General features: G+C 39.1%; 1 annotated feature.

Annotated features, from left to right (window-relative positions):
* Positions 233-282: an enhancer, noted in NCBI's record as "active region_27204". NCBI's record gives its function as "activates an Ori minimal core promoter by ATAC-STARR-seq in GM12878 lymphoblastoid cells {active_cell/tissue: GM12878}" and the evidence as "EXISTENCE:reporter gene assay evidence [ECO:0000049][PMID:35858748]".

A 24417-nucleotide genomic window follows, 5' to 3' on the forward strand; every position in this document is an offset into this window, starting at 1 on the left:
TATCCTAAGAGATAGAAAACAATTTACAAAGGACAGATGGGATGACGTCATCCCCTGCTCTTCCATCTGCTGTTTGCTCTGTGTGAAGCCATCACCACACCCTTCCACTTCTACTTTCAGATTGTGTCTGTGCTCTGACTCCTTTATCCCTTTCAATATCATCCCTTGGTTTAGGTTCTCACAGTCACTCAACAAAGCCAAGACAACAGCCTCCAAGCTCTTCCTCCTGCCTTTAGTGTCATCTTCTCCTTCTGTCTCTTCCACCCTGCCCCCAACCACCTGGCCTTCTCCCCATACTGTTGGCCAAGTGACTTTTCCAAAACCCACATCTGGTCATGTCACTGTCCTGCTTAAAGTCCTTAAGCCTAGTCTCCCCAATGCCCATAATGAAGTCCCAGCTCCTTAAACATCTCATATTCTGGTAGTAGCCTGTCCTTCAGCTACTTCTTTTTTGTTGTTTATCTTTTTTTATTGATACAAATATGTGTACACATTTATGAGGGTACATATGTATTTTGTGAGATGCATAGTGTTTGCAATCTCCAAGTCATGGTATCTAGGATGTCCATCACCTTGAGAACTTATCTTTTTTTGCATGTGTTGGGGCCACTAAAAATCCTCTCTTCTAGCTATTTGAAATATACAATTCATTGTTGTTAACTGTAGTCACCCTACTCTAGTATTGAACATTAGAACTTTTTCCTTTTATATAACTGTATGTACCCATTAACCATTTTATCTTCATTCCTCACCCATCCACACACTATTCCCAGTGTCAAGTATCTATCATTTCACTCTCCACTTCAATGAGATCAACTTTTTTTAGCTCCCTCGCATATGAGTGAGAACACACAAAATTTGTCTTTCTGTGTCTGGCTTATTTCACTTAACATAATTTCCTCAATTTCCATTAATGTTTTTGCAAATGACAGGATTTCATTCTTTTTCATGGTTGAATAGTATTCCATTGTGTATATATACCACATTTTCCTTATCTTTTCATCCACTGAAGGACTCTCAGGTTGAATCCATATCTTGGCTACTGAGAATAATGCTGCAATGAATATGGAAGTACAGGTATCCATGATTTATTTTCCTTTGGCTAAATACTCTAGTGGATTGCAGGATCAAATGGTGGTTCTATTTGAAGTATTTTGAGAAGTCTCCATACTTTCTTCCATGATGGCTATACTAATTTACATTCCCATTAATAGTGTATAAAAGTTTTCTCTACATCCTTGCTAACATCTGTTATTTTCTGTCTTTTTATTTATAGCCCTTCTAACTGGGATAAGACAATATGTCACTGTGTTTTTGATTTCATTTTCCTGGTGATTAGTGATGTTGAGCATTTTTTCTTTTCTTTTCTTTTTTTTTTTTTTTTTTGAGATGGAGTCTCGCTCTGTTGCCCAGGCTGGAGTGCAGTGGCACGATCTCGGCTCACTGCAAACTCCGCCGCCTGGGTTCACACCATTCTCCTGCCTCAGCCTCCTGAGTAGCTGGGACTATAGGCGCCCGCCGCCACGCCCGGTAAATTTTTTGCATTTTTAGTAGAAACGGGGTTTCACCGTGTTAGCCAAGATGGTCTCGATCTCCTGACCTTGTGATCTGCCTGCCTCGGCCTCCCAAAGTGCCCAGCTGAGCACAGGCATGAGCCATCGTGCCCAGCTGAGCATGTTTTCATATACCTATTGGCCATTTGTATGTCTTCTTTTGAGAACTATCTATTCATATCTTTTGCCCACTTTTTAATGGGATTTTTTTTAACTGTTGAGTTGTTTGAATTCCTTGCATATTCTGGATATTAGTCCCTTGTCAGATGAATAGTTTGCCAGCATTTTCTCACATTCTGCAGATTCCACTCTGTTGATTGTTTCATTTGCTGTGCAGAAGCCTTTTATTTTAACATAGTCCTTATTTTGTTTTGGTTTTGTTGCCTGTGCTTTTGTGGTCTAGCCATAAATCCTTTAGCTTCTATTTCTACAACCTCCTTTCCTGGTGGCTAGGGCAACACTGAACCACTCGCTTTCCCATAAGCCCACTGGTACCTTCCAGCTTCCATGCCTCAGTAATGCTATTTGCTCAGCTTTCTTCTTCCTGAAAGACTCCTGCTCATTCTTTCAGATTCAGCTCAGATATCATTTGCTCTCTGAAGTCCTCCCTGATCCCCACTGCCCTACCCCAGGCAAAGCGAACAACTCCTTTTTTCATGTTACAGTAACTCTTCGTAGAAATCTCTCTCCTAATAGCTATCATTGTAATGCCATTGTTTGCTTTCTTGCAGTTGACCCTCTCCAGATTTTGAGCTCTTTAAGGGCAGAGACTGTGTTCTAACATGGTTGAAACCAACACAGTGCCTGGCACCACGCTGTTATTCAATAAATGCCTGTTGAATGACTGAAATGATGATTTGGCTGTGCCACGCTGTTTGGCTTTTGGTGGCATTGATGTTGCCATTCCTCTCTCCTGCTGGATTAGAAAGGCCCTTCAGTAGCTGGAGGAAAACTTGATGAGTCTGAGACATGCATAGTTATAGTTAAATAAGAAGTTTTGCCCACCAATACTAAGGTATGCTTTCCTTTCTTTTCTGGTCAGTCCTGAAGCACTTAGAAATTGCATGCCCTTTTTATCTTTTCCCCATATTAAGAAAGATTCTGATAAATCTTTCTAATTCCTCACTCTCTATAGAATGGGGGAGGCTGTTTTACTGGAGTCCCAGGTGGGCTTCCAGAGTGTGGAAGAGTGGAATGGATGGTACAAGCTGGAGTGGTCACTATTTATCTCTATCAGTGGGGGATGCCAGGACTCGGAATGAGCAAAGGTAGAAGCTGCTTAGGAGGGCAAAGCCCAAAATGCTAATTGGAGAACCAGGTCCTGCATGAAACCTGGTGGAAGCCAGAGTCAGGCATCAGAGTCCAGTAGGCGCCTAGAGATTGGAGGGAGAGAGGGAGATGAGGCTGAGCATCATTAGGGCAGAGGGAGGTGGTATCATGAAGGGTTAGCCTCAGATGCTGCTATCATATGGCCCTGACATTTCATTTGAGAGCTAGCAGGGGTGCAGGGGGTGCAAGGGTGAGTTAGTGGATTCCTTCAGAGGGTCCAGAGTGAGTCGTGGCACTGAACCATGAGTGATCAGTAGCACTTCTTATATTATCACAAATACTTATTTTTCATTTGTGCTATGGCCTTTCTGCCTTTTGTGGTATTCCAGGTATCAGAGAGATACATCTATAGGGGAGAACCTAATGTTATTCTTGGACTAGTATAGTCATGTGTGCTTGGAACTGGATGGTAAAGCCCTGCCAAACCCTGTTGGGCCCTGCTAAACAAGGCAAAAATATATTGCCCAAGGCATCAAGTCTCAACCCCTGGGGAATCTCCAAATATTCCAAGTTAAACTAATTTTAAAGTTTTTCTAATAAAAATTATGCAATATATCTGTCTTTAGACTAGTCCAAAAGAAATTAGGGAATGAATCATCCCATTTAGAAAAAAAATTCATAATAGAATATTCTTTTATAAAGCAAGCTGCCCACATGTATTTAAAAAGAGTTGGGAGGTAGGAAAATTCTAACAAGTACACGAATGACTAGGAGCACATCTATAGAAGTCAATTCCACCATCCCACATGTCCGGGACAGATGAGCCACTCTCACGAAATCACACAGTTCAACAACTGAAGCTCACAGGGTTGGAAAAACATTGACTCCAAGCTTGTGATTCACAAGTACAATTTGAACATTTTTGTAAATCCTCATTTTTTTCATTAATTCAGTATTTACTGAGCATCCACTACTTAGCTTGATCCTGACGCTATAACTGGGAACTAGGTGAAAATAATCTTTACTGCTATCAAATGTTATTCTAGTAAAGAAGATAGACAATGTACAAATAGACAAGAAATTTTTAAAGTTGCAAATTATGATATGTGCTGTGAAGGCAGCAGCCAAGTAGCTCAGATTGTGTGTTGAGAGAACAGAGTGGGGAGAGAAGTTGGGAGGTACTGCTTTAGATGGAGAGGCTGGGAAGGCCTCTCTCAGAGGTAGCTTTGAGTTGAAACAAGCTCACTGTTAAAGAGCCAGATGATGCACAGGAGAATTCCAGGCAGCGTGAATATCATGCACACGGCCTTGGGTAGAAGGGAGACTTGGCCAGTTTAAAGGATGAAAGGAAACAGAAGAGAGTGTTCCTAGAACTTAGAGAGGGTGTCATGACATGTGGTTGAATTGACAGGCCGGAAGAAGATCATGCAGGACCTTGGAGTTCATTCTAAAGGAAATGGGGAGCCACTGAAGAGTTCAAAGCAAATGAGTGCTCTGATTCAATTTATATTTAACAAAGAGACTCTTGATGGCTGCTGAGTCAAGTTGGAAATGGGTAAACCATGTACATGCTGTACCAGTTGTCTAACAAGCAATAATAGTGTTCTGGATAAAGATGGAGTGAAGTGGATGGATGTGAGATATATTTTGGAAATAGAATTGACAAAGTCTGCTTTGGGTTAGATGTGAGCTTAAAGGAAAGAAAAAATTAAGAATGACTTCTGGGCTTCTAGATGCACAGCCAGCTGGTGCAATTTTCCAAGGTGGGGAAGATGTGCAGAAACACCGGCTTTGAAAATTGGTATACAGGGAAAATCAGGAACTCATATTGATGTTAGATGGCTGTGAGTCATAAACTGAGATGTCAGATAGACAGCTGGATAAGCGTGTCTGAGTTTAGAGGTGAGGTTAGCTCTGAAGAAGAAAATAAATGCATGTATATAACCACGTAGGGGGTGGTTGGCCTACCTCAGGGCCAATTCTCTTACCCTTCAAAGGTTTAGACATCTTCTCAAGACAAAATCTTGGAGGTGATATGTGTCTTTTGCATTATAATTACTGTGTTATTTGCACACAAAGTGTCTTACCTTAGAAAGTACACACCAGTTGTCAATTACTGAGTGTATAAGAAGTGTCAGGCACTCTACTTACATGATCTCATTTAATCTTCAAAATGTTAAGAGACATAGAGAGCAGATATAAGAACACCTAGAGGGCAGATAAGGAAATGGAAGCTCAGAGAGATCAAGTAGCCTCCCTACCGTCACACAGCTAGTGTTTGGCAAAACTGAGAGAGGAACCCAGGCCTCTTGACTCCAAGGTCAGGCTCCTGCCCTCATGGACTCTCCTCCTTTCAGTAACAGTCTCTTATCTACCCCTCATGGGAGAGCAATTTTTACAGCACTACGATAGTAGAGAGGCTATGTTAGCTGAAATTTGGGACAAGACACCAGACCATTCTGAGCTTCTATTTCTTCTACTATAAAATGATCTATCTACTATGCAGATTGCAGATAGGAAATATAGAAAATATATCAAATAAAGTATAATATAAATCCTATGCAATATATAGTTATATGCACACATAAATACATGTAAAATGGGATATTGTGCAGCCATTCAAGATGACTGCAAAATTATTTTACTTTTTAAGATTTTTAAATTGTAAGATACTTCAAACAAATAAAAGTACAGAATACTGTATGACACCCACATATCCATATTTAACAGATGTTAACATTTTGTCTTGTTCACTGCAAATATCATTTTTGTTGTTTTATTTTCAGAAATAAAACACTGTAGAATCACAGGTGCAGTTATTAATAATATACCATTCTCCTTTCCACTCCATCAATAACTGGTCAGCATGTAACATTCCCATGAATGCTTTTATACTTTTACTACGTACTTATGTATGCCTAAAAAATTAAAATTAATGATGTTGTTATATGCATTTACTGCTTTTACATAAATGGTACTATACTACGCCCACCTTTCAATGACTTGCTGTTTTCTCTCAAGTATAAAACAGTGGTTATTGTTTTTATAATAATTAAGTTTCTACTATATACTAGGGTCCTTGCTTACAACTTACATATATATATTATCTCATTCAGCCCTGATAGTAAACTTGCAGGTATGTACACTTGCCTCATTTTACCAAAAGGAAAATTAAAGTTCAGAGACATTAAATCACTTTCCTAAGGTCACACAGCCAGTAACTGACAGAGATGAGACACAATTCAACTTCCTCCCTCAATCTGTTCTCCCAATCACAGGGCTTTTATGTTTTTCTCATTTCTTTCTTTTTTTTTTTTTTTTTTGACATGTAGATTCAATTTCCTACTTGGCATTTCATTTGCCTTCCCTTTAAAAATCATATCAGATTTGTCTGCATTTTTTCTTCCCAAGCTGTTTGCTAGCCTGCCCTGTGTTTAGGATTGGTTGGGCAAGTTGCAGGACAGATAGAAGGGGGCTTCTGAAGGCTTCTGTGACCCTATCAGCAAATGCCTACATCAGAAAGAGTGTTTTCTCATTTCTGGTTATGCTTCTGTAAAAGTGGGTGTTTTATGGCCGGGCGCAGTGGTTCACGCCTGTAATCCCAGCACTTTGGGAGGCTGAGGCAGGCGGGTCATGAGGTAAAGAGATTAAGACCATCCTGGCCAACATGGTGAAACCCCATCTCTACCAAAAATACAAAAATTAGCTGGGCATGGTGGTGGGCACCTGTAGTCCCAGCTACTTGGGAAGCTGAGGCAAGAGAATAGTTTGAGCCCAGGAGGTGGAGGTTGCAGTGAGCAGAGATCGTGGCACTGCACTCCAGCCTGGCAACAGAGTGAGACTCTCTCTCAAAAAAAAAAAAAAAAAAAGTGGGTGTTTTACTATCTATCATGTCATGACAACCACCTCAAACCTTAGGGGCTTTAATTTGATGGTTTTTCATGTTCTGCGGGTGGACTGTTGAGCTGGGCGGTTCTTCTGGTCTCTCTCGAGGTCTCTCATGCAGTTTCAGGCAGATGGCAGCTGCAGCTGGTTGGTTCTCTCACTCTCCACATAGCTTCAGGGCTTCTCCTTTCCACAAGGCCTCTCCAGGTGGTCTGTTTGTGTGGTCTCTCCAGCAGGATAGCCAAACATCTTGCTTGACAGCATAACTCCAAAAATGCAAGGAAGGAAGCTGCCAGGCATCGTTAAGGCCCAGCACATTGTCACTTCTGCCAAGTTCTATAGTTTCGAGTGAGTCACAGGCTCAGCTCAGATCCCATGTGGGAGGAACTGCAGTGAGGTGTGAATACTGGGAAGTGCAGTTTGTGGGGGCCATTGTTTGAAAGCTAGCTACCACAATAGGAAAACTGAAGACAGGACTTCATCTCATCCTCTAAACTTTCTTCCTATGAAGATTCTCTTTGATGAGTTAATGCTCTCCTAATATACTTGAGAGGCTTTTAAGCAACATTCTATGGCAAGGCAGGTAAGAAACCAAATTGGCAATATGGTATCACCACAGTCAAGGACTGAGTCAGCTTGGGAAACCAAGATTCTCAACAAAATATTCTCTCCCTAGTCCTACCTGCTCAACTTGTTACCATCCCCGCTACAGGAACTCTCTCTCTAAAAGCTTCCTGAAGGGTTAGTTTTCTCCTAGGCTTGGAGGCCCATGCCAACAGATGGTAGCCATAGAAATATCAGAACATTTCTCCGAATTGGATTTCAATCAGCTGATGTTTAATTTTAGATTTTGAGATAGGCCACATTTTACCCTACCTTCTCCCACTTGAAAAATCACAACACAGTAATGGTGGCCAGAAATCTTTTCTGTCACCTTAGGAAATATTTTTAACTCTCTCAAAGCCATAGGAAGGATTTTTGTTTTAAGTTAACATATTTTTAGAAGTAAAATAGTCACATAGTCATGGTCAAAATTTAATATATTCAAAAAAGAGAGAGTAACAAATCTCCCCTCCATAACCCTGTCCCTCACATATGCAGATTCCCTCCAACATCAGTTTCTTGTTTTCTTCCAGAGACATTCCATATTTCTTCTTCCAGAAATATGTGTACATATAAGCAAATATGCATACATATTCTGTTTCCAGTTTTTGACACAAATGTATTCACACTCTACATCCTACTCTGCATCTTGTTTTTCTTATGTAATAATCTTAAACATTTTTATACATCAATACATAATTTTTTCTTTTTTTGAGATTGAGTATTTCTCTGTCACCCAAGCTGGAGTGCAATGGTGCAGTCTCGGCTCACTGCAACCTCCACCTTCCAGATTCAAACGATTCTCTTGCCTCAGCCTCCTGAATAGCTGGAATTACAGGCTTGCATCACCATGCCTGGCTAATTTTGTATTTTTAGTAGAGATGGGGTTTCACCATGTTTGCCAGGCTTGTCTTGAACTCCTGACCTCAGGTGATCCTCCTGCCTCGGCCTCCCAAAGTGCTAGGATTACAGGCTTGAGCCACCATGCCTGGCATATTTTTCTTATTCTTTACTTTTTTCTAGCAGCAAGTATTCTGTTGCATGCATGTACTGTCATGTATTTAAAGAGTTCCCTATTGATGGGCACTTAGGTTCCTTCCAATATTTTTCTGTAATTAACAAGGGTACAATGAATAAAACTGTATATACATAATTTCATATATGTGTGAGTTTATCTATGGGATAAATTCCTAGTGTCAGAATCTCTAGATCAAAAAGTGAGGTTGTTTATATTTTGATTGATATTGCTAAACTGCCACACAAAGATGTACTAATTTGCACTCCCACCAGCAATCCATGGTTTGCCTATTTATTCTACTCTTACTAACCCTTCCAATTTTTAATTTTTTTCCACCTAGTAAGGTAAAAGTGTTTTTTCAGTGTGGTTTTATTTTTATTGTCTTTTTTATGAATGAAACTGATCACTCATTCTTATGTTCAGGTGTCATCTGTATTTCCTTTTCTGAGAACTATGTATTTAAATCCTTCTGTTCATTTTCTTTTTAATTTAGCTCCTATATTGATATATGAGAGCTTTTCTGTATGCAAGAAATTATTCCTCTGACTCGTATGAGTTGCAAATATTTTTTGCCACTTAATCATTTGTCTTCCTACTTTATTTAAAATAATTTTTCCAGGCAGAAAACTCTTTGTTTTTATGTACTCAAATTCACCAGTGTCAGGTTTTCATATCATTTTTATAATAAATTCTCCACTCTGAAGAAAAAAATCAATTAGTATTTTACAGTATTTTATGATTTCATTTGTTACTTTAAGGCTTTCATTTATATAGAATTTATTTTAGTCCAAAGTGTGAGGCATGTAGTCAACTTATTTTTTTCCCCAAATGCCTATCTAATTGTCTCAACACCATGTATTGAATAATTCATCTCTTCCCTACTGACTTTGGGTGCTACCTCTATGACACTAAATCTTCCTACTCAACACACATGTGTTTTTGTTGTTCCAGTCTTCTTTATTTCCTCTCAAAAGCATTTAAAAATGTTTCTTCCTATAGTGCCTACATAATTCTTATTAAGTTTACCCCTTAAGTATTTTTTCCTTTTTTGGTTCTTGTTACTATCATAAATGATTAACTTCTCTCCCATTATCACCTATTGGCAATCTGATAGCCCTATCTTCACACTGCTTTGTTTGTTTATAAAGGCTATTGATTTTCAAATATTAACTTTACCTATTTTGTTTCTGAAAAAATTCACCTTCATCTTAGGCTTCAAATAATTCTTATAATTTTCCAAGGAAAATGAGCATTTCAAAGAGAAAGATTACCATGTATACCAGGAGTCAAGAAATTATACATATAACTAATTACACTAATAGACTATCAAGGTCTTTAGATGTTTTAACTATTAGACACTATAGAGAAAAATTATGCTTGGTATATTTAGAAAGTAAAAGACAAACTTATACATATCTGCAGGTAACAAAAACTATAAATACTAGCCAAGAAGCCTTAAAAATTAACCAAATAGAACTCTTAGACATGAAAATGTAATAATTGAGATAGAAAGTTTAATGGATAGAATTAAGAGCAGATTAGATTCAGCTGAAGAGAAAATTACCAAACTGGAAGACAGAGGAGAAGAAAATTATCCAGAATGCAGGCCAGAAAGACAAAAAGATGTAAAAATATATGGAAGAGTGAAGGATAGAAGAGTGGGTATGAAGGATAGAATGAAAGAGCTTCATCTATATACGATCAGAGTTCCAGAACAAGAGAAAGAATGAAGGTCAAGACCATATTTGAAGAGGTGGTGGTAAATTTTCATGCATTTCCATGACCAATGCAAGAGAACAAACTACAGAATCAAGAATTCCAAAGACTCTCCAAGCAAGTTAGATAAAAACGAAAAACAAAATAAAACCAATCACACTTAGAAATGTCATAGTAAAAGTGCACAAGAGCAAAGGTGAAGAAAAAATATCAAATGAAATAAAATTTATTGTTCTTGAAGGAGCAATAATTAAACTAACAGCAAACTTGTTAACTGCAATAAATGAAGTCAGTAAACAATGGAATAATATCTTCAGTGCACTAAAAGACAGTAACTGCCAACCTAGAATTGTATACATGGTAGAATTATCTTTTAAGGATGAGAGCAAAATGAAGACATTTCTAAAAACATAGTGGAAACAGTTTGCTACCAGCAGTATCTCTCTAAAGGAAATACTAAAAGAGGAAGTTCAGACAGAAAGTGATCATAATTGGAAGATCTAAGATATAGGAAGGAATGAAATGTAAACAAGAGACATAAATACATTTCTCAGAAGAACTGTAGCCAATAAAGATATAAGAAGCTATTCAACATCATTAGAGATCAGGGAAATGAGACTCAAGACCACAGTGAGATTATATTTTCTCCCCATTCAATCATCAAAAATTAGAAAATGAACAATACCAAGTGTTGGAAGGTATGTGAATCCAGAGGCTTTCTTTTATGGTGCTTATGGGTCTATAAACTGGAAGGTGGGTTGGCATTGTCTTCTAAGTTGAATGTTAACCTGTTTATAGTCCAACAATTCATCCTAGGTTTGTACTGAAGACAAATTCTTGCACATGTACAGGAGACATATATAAACAATGTTCGTAACAGTATGATTTAGCAAAAACATGGAAATAATTCCAAATGCTATCAATAGGAGAACAGATTACTAAACTGTGGTTTATGCAGGTATACTATGCAGCAGTTAAAAAAATGATCATATGCAGCCAATTGGAAAGTTGTCTCAAAAGGTTATATGCAGAATGACATCATATGCAGCTAAAAGCAACTGGAATTTTATATATATATATATATCTTAGGAATACAAATAGAAGCACTACAACTACATAAAAAGAAAAGTTTTGGAATGATAAACCTGGGATTCAGGATGATGGCTACCTGGGTGGGGGAGACAGGAAGATGGGATGGGGAAAACTAATGGGCTTAAATGAAATTATGGTTAAGATCCTGGTGTGTGTCTTAGGAAATGAGTTTGCAGGGGCTTTTTAGATTATTAAAACCAACTAACCAAATAAGAGGGTAATGAACAGAGCAATATTGAGAGTATGCCATGAACCAGAGATTATGGTTTAATCCAATTTTGTATAGCTAAGGTCCACGAAAGAAAAATTAAATTAAAACACAGGCTAAGGGTCCAAGAGTGGACCCCTGGAGTCAGCAAAGTTAGAGTTCTGTAAGGACAGAACCAGAGTATATACCTTCCCAGCTGGGTGGGGGGAGGGGGGAATTAGTATGATGAAAAGAGAATCAAACAAGAAAGGATGAAAAATAAAATATAACAAGAAGGAAGAATATTATATCAAACACAGATATAAACCTAAGTAGATCAATAGGTGTAAATGAATAAACACTCCAGTTATAAGACAAAGATTATCAGAGTGGATAAAATAAAATAATTACTCAGAATTTAAACACTGTGGAAAATAAATGAGATTGGAACAGAAAGATATGATCTATGTATAAAATAATGAGGATGGAAACTGAAAATGGCAATGCATTTTACCTCTAGACTTCATTTTGAAAAGTCCCACCTTACATAAAGTCCCTGCACATACTTCTACCTGCTATTACAACCTTCTCCTGTGCCCCAACAATAATAACTTGATGAGTCTTAATGACACACAATTGTGGCTGGCTTGCAAATGAAAAAAAAATCACAACAATCATACACATTGTTTCTGGAGATAATTTCTCCTTTAATAAGGAGAGCAAGTTTAAGTGCTGGCTTATTTCAGACCTTGGGAATCAGCTATATGTGCCTAGATGCTTAATAATCCAAGCATGAATTCACCATACATAGGACACTTATATATGATGCTGCATATACACTACATAGGCCACTGTAGTGGATGCTGTAGTGTACCTCCCCAAAACCTCCTTCAGGGTCAAGTCACTTATTTCCTCAGCTGCCAGGAATATGGAATGCTAATGACTTATAGCTGAGTTCCTCCTGAGGAAATGTCCTGTGCCAAAGTTATGTCCTCTCTCTGGGAAGTCAATGTGGGAGTACAAAAGGCCAGTCCTCTTGCCTCACTTCAGGATGTCTCTAAAGGACCATTCAAGTTTCAAAGCTCCTTATGGGATCAGCTGAGGTCCCTCTTGCTATAGCACTGCAATTCAACTTCCCTGTATACCAAATGCTGCTTCTCTCATTCTCTTACAAGTATGGTGTAGAGTATGGCTACTCTCTTAAGACTCCAACTCCCTAACACCAACTGGATGGTATACAATTTAATTCTGGCACTAACCACCTGGAGTGAGCTCAGACCCCAACAAGTTAAAGGCAAAGTCCTCCTAAGACTCTCCTCAGATGCCAGCTGCAAGTTTTCACACCACCTGCACTTCTGACCAACTCGTTACAAATTTGCGGGTTCCCGCAACCCCCCTCAGGCTTGATATATAGTATACTAGGATGACTCACAGAACTCAGAGACTCACTGTACTTATTATTATAGTTTTATCATAAAGGATACACAGGGATGACCAGTCAAATGAAGAGATGCATTGAGTGAGGTATGAGAGGGAACACAGAGCTCCTGTGCCCTCTTTGCATGAAATCAGGGTGCCCCATCCTCCAAGCACATGGATGTATAACCAACAACCAAAAGCTCCACTGAGAGCTTTGAGACCAGAGTTTTTGGTGGGAGTTTCGTTATGTAGGCATGATCGGTTGAGCACGTGATTAAACTCAATTTCTAGTCCCCTTCTTCTCCCTGAAGTTTGAGCTAGTGCAAAATTCCAATCATCGAATCAGGTGGTTAGCCTTTCTGATGACCAGCCCTCATCCTGAAGCTATAAGGCTCCCATTCTAAAGCTATTAGGTGTCCATCTTGAGTCATCTCATTAGCTAAACAAAGACACTTCTATCACTCAGGATATTGCACGTTTTTGAAGCTCTATGTGAGGAATCCTGAACAAAAACCAGAAAAATTCTTTATTATTATGCAACGATGCCCTAATAAAATTCCTGCACAGAAATCTCTGTCTGTTTCCAGGAAACGTGACCCCAGATAGTTGTTTCCAGGGGTGGTTCTAGGAAAGGTAAGTACTCATTCAGTTCCTAATGTGCTGTGTTCCACGGAGAGAAGAGGAACTCAAGGGCTCAGGCCTCCCTGGGTTGGGCGCTGCCCACAAAGCCTGGACTAGTGCCTATGTGAGGGCTCACCATGCATGATCCTTGGCAGCACAATGACAGTGTTCCAGCTTGGGGCTGCTTCACACTCAAACCAGCTCTTGGACCTAGGATGGCCCTGAGCTGATTAGTTTTAGGTACTAACTGTAATAACCAAAAGGAAGGACTATTAGGGTTTTACCCTTCTCCTAGACAAGCCTACTAGATATGAAATAAAAAGGAAGATGACTTCCCTTTTCAGCAGCCAAGTGCCTGAGTGTTTCTGGGAGGCATGCACATTCAGTTTGGGTACATGAGGATGCTCCGATTCCATTAAACATATGTTATTCTCTAACCCATTCCTCACCCTTAAATTGTCGTCTGGGACACCAGTTTACACTCTACTTAGAAGTCGCAGATGTCTCAACCTCAATATGTCCAAAAAATAAACATGTACCTTTCCTTCTTCTCCTTTCTCCATCATCACTGACACAACCATCCCAGCCAGAACCTTGATGTCACTTTGGTATCATCCTTGGCTTCTCTCTCTCTTACCTCCTGTCTACATCAAGCTCCATGATCTATCAGTTTTACCTCTGAGTGTTTCTCAGAATTCCCCTTCCTCTCTATCTTTGCCAGTGTGGTGGTAATATCAGCCTCCTTCATCGCTCTCTTAGGCTGGAGGAAAATGCTTCATTTGTCTGCCTTCTACCACTTTTGTTTTCTCCAAATGCTTTCTCTATATAGACTTGAGAGTGATGCACTTGAAATACAGAGCCAACAATAGTTCTTTTTGTCCTTAACTTTTCCATTAAAAATATTACACAATAATACATGCTGTCCATAGAAAGTCAAATAATACAAGGGCATATACAGTAATAAAAAGAAGCCTCTGTCATTTTGTCCCCTTTCTATCCAATACCTCCTCCCTTTTCCTTCCTTCTAAGAATTGGACCTCTTTAAACTCCATAAAGTGCCCCCTAGAAGCTGTCATTTTCTTCTCTGGTCTCTTTTTGGGCCACAGTTACGTGGTTTATATTGAGACTTCTTTCCTGTGGTGTTGGAACTTGAGCTTAAAGAATCCAGTTGACTTCTCTCCATGGATAGATATGTCAGACACAAAATTTCATAAGCTTGGTGGCCAGACTTCTTACCCTGATGAGTGGAGAAGCTGAGGCAGCCAGTCAGCATAAAAGGAAGAAAGAATAAAGTTGACATGCACAGAGAAACAGAGATAAACAAAGTAGAGAGAAAGAACCCTATGTTGTTGTTTTCCTACACAAATAAGATCATATCATACAAGTTGGTTGTCCTAGTTCATTTCCTGTTGGTATAATAGAATACCATACACTGTTACAGTCTCAAGAAAAAAAAAAACTACTAAAGAAAATAAACTTATTTTTTACAGTCCTAGAGGCTGGCAATTTCAAGAGCACGGCAGCAGCACCTGGTGAGGATCACCCCTTGCAGAAGGCATAACATGGTGAGAGAGCACAAGAGAAAAGCACCAGAGGCTGCACCCATTTTATTACAATCCACTCCAAACATGACTCACCTGCTGTGGTGATAATGACATCAATCAAATTGTGAGGGCTCTGCCCTCATGAAACAATCATCTCTTTTTAGGCCCTACCTCCCAACAATGTTGCACTGGGGACTGTTTCCAACACATAAGCATTTTGGGGACATATTCAAACCATAGCATTGCTCTTTCATTTTTGTTCCCACTTAACAATGTATTCTTAGAGATCTTTTCATTTCCTTCCTTATGAAGGTACTTTGTTTTTTCCGTGGTTGCCTGATATTTAATACTCTGAATTTTACACGGATTACATATTTCTTACCAATAGGCAGATTATTCTTCATATTTTGTTCTTACAAAGAATGCTATAACAGGCATCTTCATACAAAAAAAAAAACTCCCTAGTATTTCCAAGATAAAATTCATATTTCTTAAAAGGGGAGACAATACCACCATCCCCATTTTTGACCACTCCTGGCTTTCTGCCCTACTCTCCAGTGACACAAATTGCTTGATGCTTCCTGCATCTATACCATGCCTTCCCTTACTCTGTGCCTCTCTTTGTTCTTGTTGGACCTGAATGGCCTCTTCACCCCTCTCTGCTCAGTCAACCTCTATTCATTCTTTATTACTCAGTTCAGGTGTCAAATCCTCCTGGCAACTGTTTCACACCACTTTTATCATTGCATACGCCACATTGTATACAATTGCTTTAGTTATATACCTGTTTTCTCCCCTAGATTGTAAATTCCTCCAGGAACCAAGGCTAGTACTTGTGTCTTATTGTTTTTGTAACCAAAATGGTTAGCAAAGTGTCTGAAACATAGCATGTGGTCAGTTACACTTGAATGAATGAAGGAATGTGTCTGAAACATAGCATGTGGTCAGTTACACTTGAATGAATGAAGGAACATGTCTGAAATGTAGCATGTGGTCAGTTACAATGGAATGAATGAAGAAATGTGTCTGAAACAGCATGTGGTCAGTTACAATTGAATGAATGAAGGAAAGTGTCTGAAACATAGCATGTGGTCAGTTACAATGGAATGAATGCAGGTCTACACTCACAGACTGACTTATTGGATCCTACACCCTCACCCACATGTATATTTGTTCCTTTTGAAAGTTAATGGGCTGAGTAGATTTCTTTTTCACTAATCAGTGATAACAATACTATAAATACACACACACACTTACACACACACATGCCATAGTATATAGACAGCTATATATTAGATTGGTGCAAAAATAATTCCGGTCTTTGCCATTGAAAGTAATGGCCAAAAATGCAATTGCTTTTGCACCAACCTAATAGTATCATTTATTTAAAGATTTCAAAGGCTTTTAAGAAAATATTGTCTCATTAATCAGTTGACTCTCTTTAGTTATTTTGTCTTTAGAGGTTGCTGGAGAAATAATATCATGCCCATCCTAAAGTCAAGGAAGTGTGGGGTAGGCAGAGGAAATAACTGGTGAGCTAACAGTGAGATCAAGAGAGGTGCCACATGCTTACACACATGTCTCTGCTTCTTTCCTGCCCTAACATGACTTGCTAGCCTCTGCAGCAACACAGTAAGGCATTTCCCTTATAATTATACTTCTCAATGATATTATCCACATGTTGCACTATTGCAAAACCTTTCAAAGTAATACCATAAAGCCAACACATTACAGCAGATCCTTGAATAAGGTCGTTTGCTCAATGTTGTTTATTTGTAACATTGATGAGAAAACATAAATAAATTTCCAGCTGTAGCCAAAGTCTCTGTGGAGTTTGCACATTCTCCCCATGTCTGCTTGGGTTTTCTCTTTGTACTGTGGCCTGCTCCCTCATCCCAAAGCTGTGCACATTAGGTGAATTGGTGTGCCTGTTCAGTCCCAGTATGAGTGAGTGTGGATGGGTATGATTAAGATGGAAAGGCATCCTGGCCAGGGGTGGTTCCTGCCTTGCATTCTAAGCTTCTGCAACAGGCTCCAACCACTCACAACAGTAAACTAGAATATTGGAGTAAGTAGTGATTTTACTTGTTTTATTAATCTTTCTGAAATGTATGTATAGCTCACATTTATTTAAATGTTTAATATTAGCAGTGTTTTCATCTTTATTTAGAATTTTGGTGATGTTTTTGTGACCAGAAATATACCATAGGAACTTCACTCATGTTTATATCAGTCCATGGGAAAATTGGTTTCAGCATACGTCATTTCACTTAAAGTCACAGTTTCCAAGATCCTATCCATGATTTTAAGTGAGGACCTGGAGGACCTACCTTATTTTTCAACGATAACCTGGCTGTAAGGGCTGAAATGCAAGAGTGGACAGATATCCTCAAAGAAAGACCAAACCAAAACAAAAGAAAACAAAGAAACCCAAAACCAATTACTCTCAACAACAACAACAACAAAAGCTTGGTCACCCATCTGAGACAGAGATGAAGCCTTCAGGGATTTTTATCAAGGATGTTATTCAAATAAAAACATTTTGTACTAAAGAAATTATCATGGGAGAAAATCTTTTCCTGTGTCTGTCAGAATCTGACTCCCATTATGCAAAATGCCAATCTGAAGTTTTTCCATTTTATTTAATTTCTTGGTAACTGACCTTCCCGCCAAATATGCATCTCAAATAAAAGACAGTTATTTTCCACATTAATAAGGCATTTTGCAACAAACAAATATCCAATACTGGAAAGAAAATTATACAATAAATGCATTGTTTTAGTTTTGTATTTTCTTCTGGTTGTCTAATTACCTTAGCTGAAGTCCTTATTCTTGAAGACAATAGCAAAAACCGCAATTACTTTTACACCAGCCTAACAATAGCTATCATTTTCAGTGTCCCTTCCAGGCCCTGGGTTAGATGATTTAGTGGATCATCTCCAGCCTTGTGGTTCTAAGGGATAGACACCATTATCCTCATTTCACAAATCCTGAGTGCCAGAGAGGTTCATATCTCACTCAGGGTCACACAGCTTTAAGAAAAAAAAAAAAAGGCAGTTCTGGAACCTAGATCTGCAGGAACTGGAAGCCCATTTTCTTTTCCTAACCAGGCTCTCTCCTAAGTATTTTTAATTCATAAACAGGGCTGTTGACTCAGGCTCCCTGGTGTAAGATTCAAGACTTATAAATTTAAACCTAGTTGGGAATTGCAAACGCACTTTCATTTATTGCTGCTGTAATCAAAGAGGAGGCTTTTACTTAAATATTGAGATTTGGGGATAGTAGCATAAATAGAAACAATTAATAAATATTCTAATTGTCCTTCTGTCCCCACTTGCATTAACCTGCACTGAATTTTTAGTTGAGCCATGTTCCCCCAAGTGCTATCCTTACACTTTACAGATGTTGCTTCTTATTTCAATAATAAGCTAATTTCCAACAATAACTACCCATGGTTAAATGCCACCCCTAAAGAGCATCTAAAGTTCAATTTAAGATAAACACAAAGTCACCCTGGGACTGCTTGTACTGTTCTTTTCACAATTGAGATTTACCAAATTGCACTGATACACTAAATTGTTCCCATCTCAAGAGGTATTTTTTAAAGTATATATGTCCAAGAAGTATATTTAGATGTGATATAATTTCATTGGTTAAAGTGTCTATTAACTTCTTTGTGTCTGGATTTTCTTCTCTGGGTCAAAGTGAGGGTTTTGTTTTTGTTTTTTTTTATTGTTGTTGTTTGTTTGTTTGTTTTTCATATAAAGTCAACTTCCCAAGTTCAGAAAAGACTACTTTTGCTACATGAGATTTTAACTTAACATTTAATTTATTTAAGATATATATTCACAACCCTAGTCTTCTTTAGTCCTTGAATTTAATTTAAAATTATTACAATTCTATATCTAAATATAGCAAATTTCAACAGTCACTTTCAATATGGCCTTTGATTAATGTTTGATCAACTCAAGTTGAACAGGTAAAACTTATTCAAATAATTGGTACCTAAACTCTATATAAATTTAATATATTCAATCTCCTTTATAGGCTCTTCAAATATCTACCTTTTAGCCAAAATTGAAAGAATTGAGTTTCCATAAACTCAATTATTATAAATTTAATGAGTGAAGTTTATAAATATAATACATTTTAAATTATCTTAAACAATAAACACACAAAGATTATTTCAATTTTCTTAAACCTAACATGAAGGTAATAATACTGTGGATTTCATTTACTTTATCTCCTCTAACTTCAATTTTAAACCTTCCTGGAGTTAAAAGACTCTTAGCTTCATGTTCCCAGTGAATTGTAGCAATTGTCCCAAGAGAAATGAAGCAAGTAAAAGAAACGTAATGACTACAGATTCAAGACCAGTAAAAGAAACCTGGGGGCTTTGTATACCTAGGAAAGTTCTCTCCACCCACTGATAGATACATGGATTAATTTTTGTGTTGTTGCAGTAATAGAGGATTGAAAGTCATTACTATTCAAGTGAAGTTGGTTTTACTGATGTCTTCTGAGGCAAGGTACACTATTACCTAATTATTTCATCTACATTTATCTACACTCTTTGAGTACAATTTCTTTCAATAATCTCTTTACTGTCTCTTTGAATCCTGCTTTGATTTTTATTGTTTAAATTTTATTTTATCTGTCTTATCTGACAGGGCACAACTCCTTTGGTCAGATGCTGCATATCTCCCATACCTTCATCTGGTCCTTCAGTTATGATGCCAAAGTCATGCTAATGACAATCTGACTACTTCAGTACCTCGCTCACAGGACTATTTTGAGAATCAAATAAGCTAACTGAATACTAAATTTTTTACCACAGTGCCTAGAGCATAATAGGCACTAGATAAGCTACTATTATTTTGGGGTGTTTTCACTTACATGAACTTTTATCCAGTTGTTGAATTTTAGTTATAACAACATATAATTGTAGTTTTAAAAATTTTATATTCTATTACATCCATTTCCTGTCAAAGTCCCATTAAAGCAGCAGTTAAAAATATATTTAAAACATAATAAGCCTATAAGCACAGAAAAAAAAAAGTATAAGAGCTAGTAGCTCAGGAAACCAAGAAACAAAACAAAACAAACAAAACCAACCAACCAAACAAACAAACAAAAAACCTGAACCTAAGCAGATGATGGGAAAAGCTGAGAAGCAACTTAATTTACACTGAATTTACACTAAGGACACTGAACCTTTACCTGTAAAGGCTCAAGAATTGGCAGTGATAGTTGGGGTGACAATGGGGCAAAATAATAGAAGAATTAATTCAAAATTATCTTTAAGAAGCACTGATATAGTTTGGTTCTGTGTCCCCACCCAAATCTCATGTCAAAATGTAATCCCCACCTATTGGAGAAGGAGCCTGGTGGGAGGTGATTGAATCATGGGGGCAGACTTCCCCCTTGCTGTTCTCATGATAGTGAGTGAGTTCTCATGAGACCTGGTTATTTGAAAGTGTGTAGCACTTCCCCTTTCACTCTCTCTCTCTCTCGCTGGCCATGTGAAGATTTGCTTGCTTGCCCTTCACCTTCTGCTATGATTTTAAGTTTCCTGAGGCATCCCCAGCCATGCCTCCTGTACAGTCTGCAGAACTGTGAGTCTATTAAACCTCCTTTCCTCATAAATTACCCAGTCTCAGAAAGTTCTTTAGAGCAATGTGAGAATGGACTAATACAGAAAATTGGCACCAGAGAAGTGGGGCATTGCTTTAAAGATACCTGAAAATGTGGAAGTGACTTTGGAACTGGGTAATGGGCAGAGGTTTAAACAGTTTGGAGGACTCAGAAGAAGACAGGAAGATGAGGGAAAGTTTGGAACTTCCTAAAGACTGGCTAAATTGTTGTGACCAAAATGCTGATAGTGATATGGACAATGATGTCCAGGCTGTGGTGGAGTAAAAATCACTTGCCATGCTTTAGCAAAGAGACTGGCAGCATTGTGCCCCTGCTTTAGGGATCTATTGAACTTTGAACTTGAGAAAGATGATTTAGGGTATCTGGCAAAAGAAATTTCTAAGCAGCAAAGTGTTCAAGGTGTGATCTGGCTGCTTCTAAAAGCCTATGCTCATCTGCATAAGCAAAGAGATAATCTAAAACTGGAACTTACATTTAAAAGAGAAGAAGAACATAAAAGTTTGGAAAATTTGCAGCCTGACCATGTGGTAGAAAAGAAAAATCCATTTTCTGGGGAAGAATTCAAGCTCAAGCCAGCTGCAGAAATTTGCATAAGCAAACAGGGACCAAATGTTAATAGCCAAGACAATGGCAAAAATGCCTCAGAGGCATTTCAGAGACCTTTGCAGCAGCCCCTCACATCATAGACCTGGAGACCTAGAAGGAAAAAAAAATGGTTTCATGGTCTAGGCCTAGGGCCTCACAGTTCTGTGCAGCTTCAGAACATGGCACGCTACATCCCTGTCACTCTAGCTCCAGCAGTGGCTAAAAGTGGCCAAGGTACAGCTCAAGCCATTTCTTCAGAGGGTGCTTCAGAGCGTGCAAGACCCAAGCCTTGGCAGTTTCCATGTGGTGTTAAGCCTACAGGTGCACAGAGTGTGAGAGTTGAGGTTTGGGAGCCTCCACCTAGATTTCAGAGGATGTATCGAAATGCCTGATATCCAGGCAGAAGTCTGCTGCAGGAGCAGAGCCCTCATGGAGAACCTCTACTAAGGCAGCACAGAGGGAAAATGTGCAGAGGGAAAATGTGGGGCTGCAGCCCCCACACAGAGTCCCCACTGGGGCAGTGCCTATTGGAGCTCTGAGAAGAGGGCCACTGTCCTCCAGACCCCAGAATTGTAGATCCACCCAACACCTTGCACCATGCACCTGGAAAAGTTGCATGCACTCACCGCCAGCTTATGAAAGCAGCCACAGGGGATGTACCCTGCAAAGCCACAGGGGAAGAGCTGCCCAAAGCCTTGAGGGTTCAGTCTTTGCATCAGCATGGCCCAGATGTGAGACATGGAGTCAAAGGAGGTTTTGAAGCTTTAAGGTTTAACGACTGCCCTGCTGTATTTTGGACTTGCATAGGGCTGTAGTCCCTTTGTTTTGGCCAATTTCTTCCTTTTGGAACCAGAGCATTTACCCAATACCTGTACCCCCCTTGTATCTTGGCAATAACTAACTTGTCTTTGATTTTACAGACCCATAGATGGAAGGGACTTGCCTTGTCTCTGGTGAGACTTTAGACTTGGACTTTTGAGTTAATGCTGGAATGAGTTAAGACTTTGGGGGACTGTTGGGAAGGTATGATTTTGTTTTGAAATGTGAAAAGGATGTGAGATTTGGGAGGGGCCAGAGGCAGAATGGTATAGTTTGGCTCTGTTTCTAAAACCAAATCTCATGTTGAATCATAATCTCCATGTGTTGGAGGAGGAGCCTGGTAGGAAGTGATTGAATCATGGGGGCAGACTTTCCCCTTGCTGTTCTTGTAATAGCGAGTGAGTTCTCATGAGGTCTGGTTGTTTGAAAGTGTGTAGTACTTCCCTCTTTGCTCTCTCTCTCTCTCTCAATCACTGGCCATGTGAAGATGTGCTTGCTTCCCCTTCACCTTCCACCATGATTTTAAGTTTCCTGAGGTCTCCCCAGCCATGCCTCCTGTACAGCCTGTGGAACTATGAGTCAATTAAACCTCTTTTCTTCATAAATTACCCAGTCTCACGTAGTTCTTTATAGCAGTGCGAGAATGGACTTATATGGCACTTAGACGTTTAGATCATTTCTCATTCTCTAAAGGTGAATAAAAGTCCTCTACCTCTGGCAGAAGACCAGCTGTTTATTCTGTGAAGAGGTAGGTCACAAGAAGCCTATGAACTAGGGTTATCAGCTACAGGTGAAGGCATGGGTAACTTAATAAAATAGGGAGATTAATCAAAGCTTAAATACTAAAATTGACAGCCCCTGCCGAGACTCTTAACCTCCAGGGATGAGGCTGTGTGTTAATCTGTTCTTGCATTACTATAAAGAAACACTGATGCTGGGTAGTTTATAAAGAAAAGACACTTAATTGGCTCATGGTTCTGCAGGCTGTAAAGGAAGCATAGCAGCATCTGCTCAGCTTCACTCATTGTGGAAGGTGAAGGGGAAGCTGACACTTCATATGGCTTGAGAAGGTGGAAGACAGAGAGGGGAGAGGTGCTACACACTTTTAAACAACCAGATCTCATGAGAACTTAGTCACTATCATGAGAAAAGCAAGGGGGAAATCTGCTCCCATGATCAAGTCACCTCTCACCAGGCCCCTCCTCCAACACGGGGGATTACAGTTTGACATAAGATTTGGGCAGGGACACAGACCCAAACCATATCAAGTTGTAAGAGCTTCTCTAAGGAAGCTGACTAACCCCATAAAAAGAGACTGAAAGACTCTGACATTTGAGATTCTCCAATTGTCTTAGTTTATTCAGGCTGCTATATCAAAATACCTTAAACTGGGTAATTTATAAAGAACAGAAATGTATTGCTTACAGTTCTGGAGGCTGAGAAGTCCAAGATCAAGGCACTAGCAGATTCAGTGTCTGGTGAGGACCCACTCCTCACAGATGGTGCCTTGTATGTGTCCTCACATGGCAAAAGGGCAAGGCAGCTCTCTCAGGCCTCTTTTATTTTTATTTATTCATTTTTATTTCAATAGTTTTCAGGGTGCAGGTAGTTTTTGGTTACATGGATAAGTTCTTCAGTAGTGATTTCTAAGATAAGGGGGCACCCATCACCTGAGCAGTGTACACCATATCCAATGTGTAGTCTTTTATCCCCCACCCCCCTCCCACTTTTCTCCCTGAGTTCCCAAAGTCCATTACAACATTCTTATGCCTTTGCATCCTCATGGCTTAGCTCCTACTTGTAAGTAAGAAAATGTAATATTTGGGTTTCCATTCCTGAGTTACTTCACTTAGAATAATGGCCTCTAGCTCCATCCAAGTTGCTGCAAAGGCCATTATTTCATTCCGTTTTATGGCTGAGTAGTACTTCATGGTGTACATATACCACATTTTCTTTATCCACTTATTAGTTGATGTGCATTGGTTGGTTCCATATTTTTGCAATTGGTAATCGTGCGCTATAGACATGCATGTGCAGCTGTCTTTTTCGTATAATGACTTATTTTCCTCTGGGTAGATACCTAGTAGTAGGATTTAAGGATTCTCCGTATTGTTTTCCTTAGTGGTTGTACTAGTTTACATTCCCACCAGCAGTGTAAAAGTGTTCTCTTTTCATCACATCCACATCAATAGCTATCATTTTTTAATTTTTAAATTGTGACCATTTTTGCAGGAATAAGATGGTAGGGGCCAGGCGCAGTGGCTCACGCCTGTAATCCCAGCACTTTAGGAGGCCAAGGTGGGTGGATCACGAGGTCAGGAGATCGAGACCATCCTGGCTAACATGGTGAAACCCCATCTCTACTAAAAAAATACAAAAAAATTAGCCAGGCGTGGTGGCAGGCGCCTGTAGTCCCAGCTACTTGGGAAGCTGAGGCAGGAGAATGGCATG

The sequence above is a fragment of the Homo sapiens genome, chromosome 8, assembly GCF_000001405.40.
Source record: "Homo sapiens chromosome 8, GRCh38.p14 Primary Assembly".
NCBI classification, from domain to species: Eukaryota; Metazoa; Chordata; class Mammalia; order Primates; family Hominidae; genus Homo; species Homo sapiens.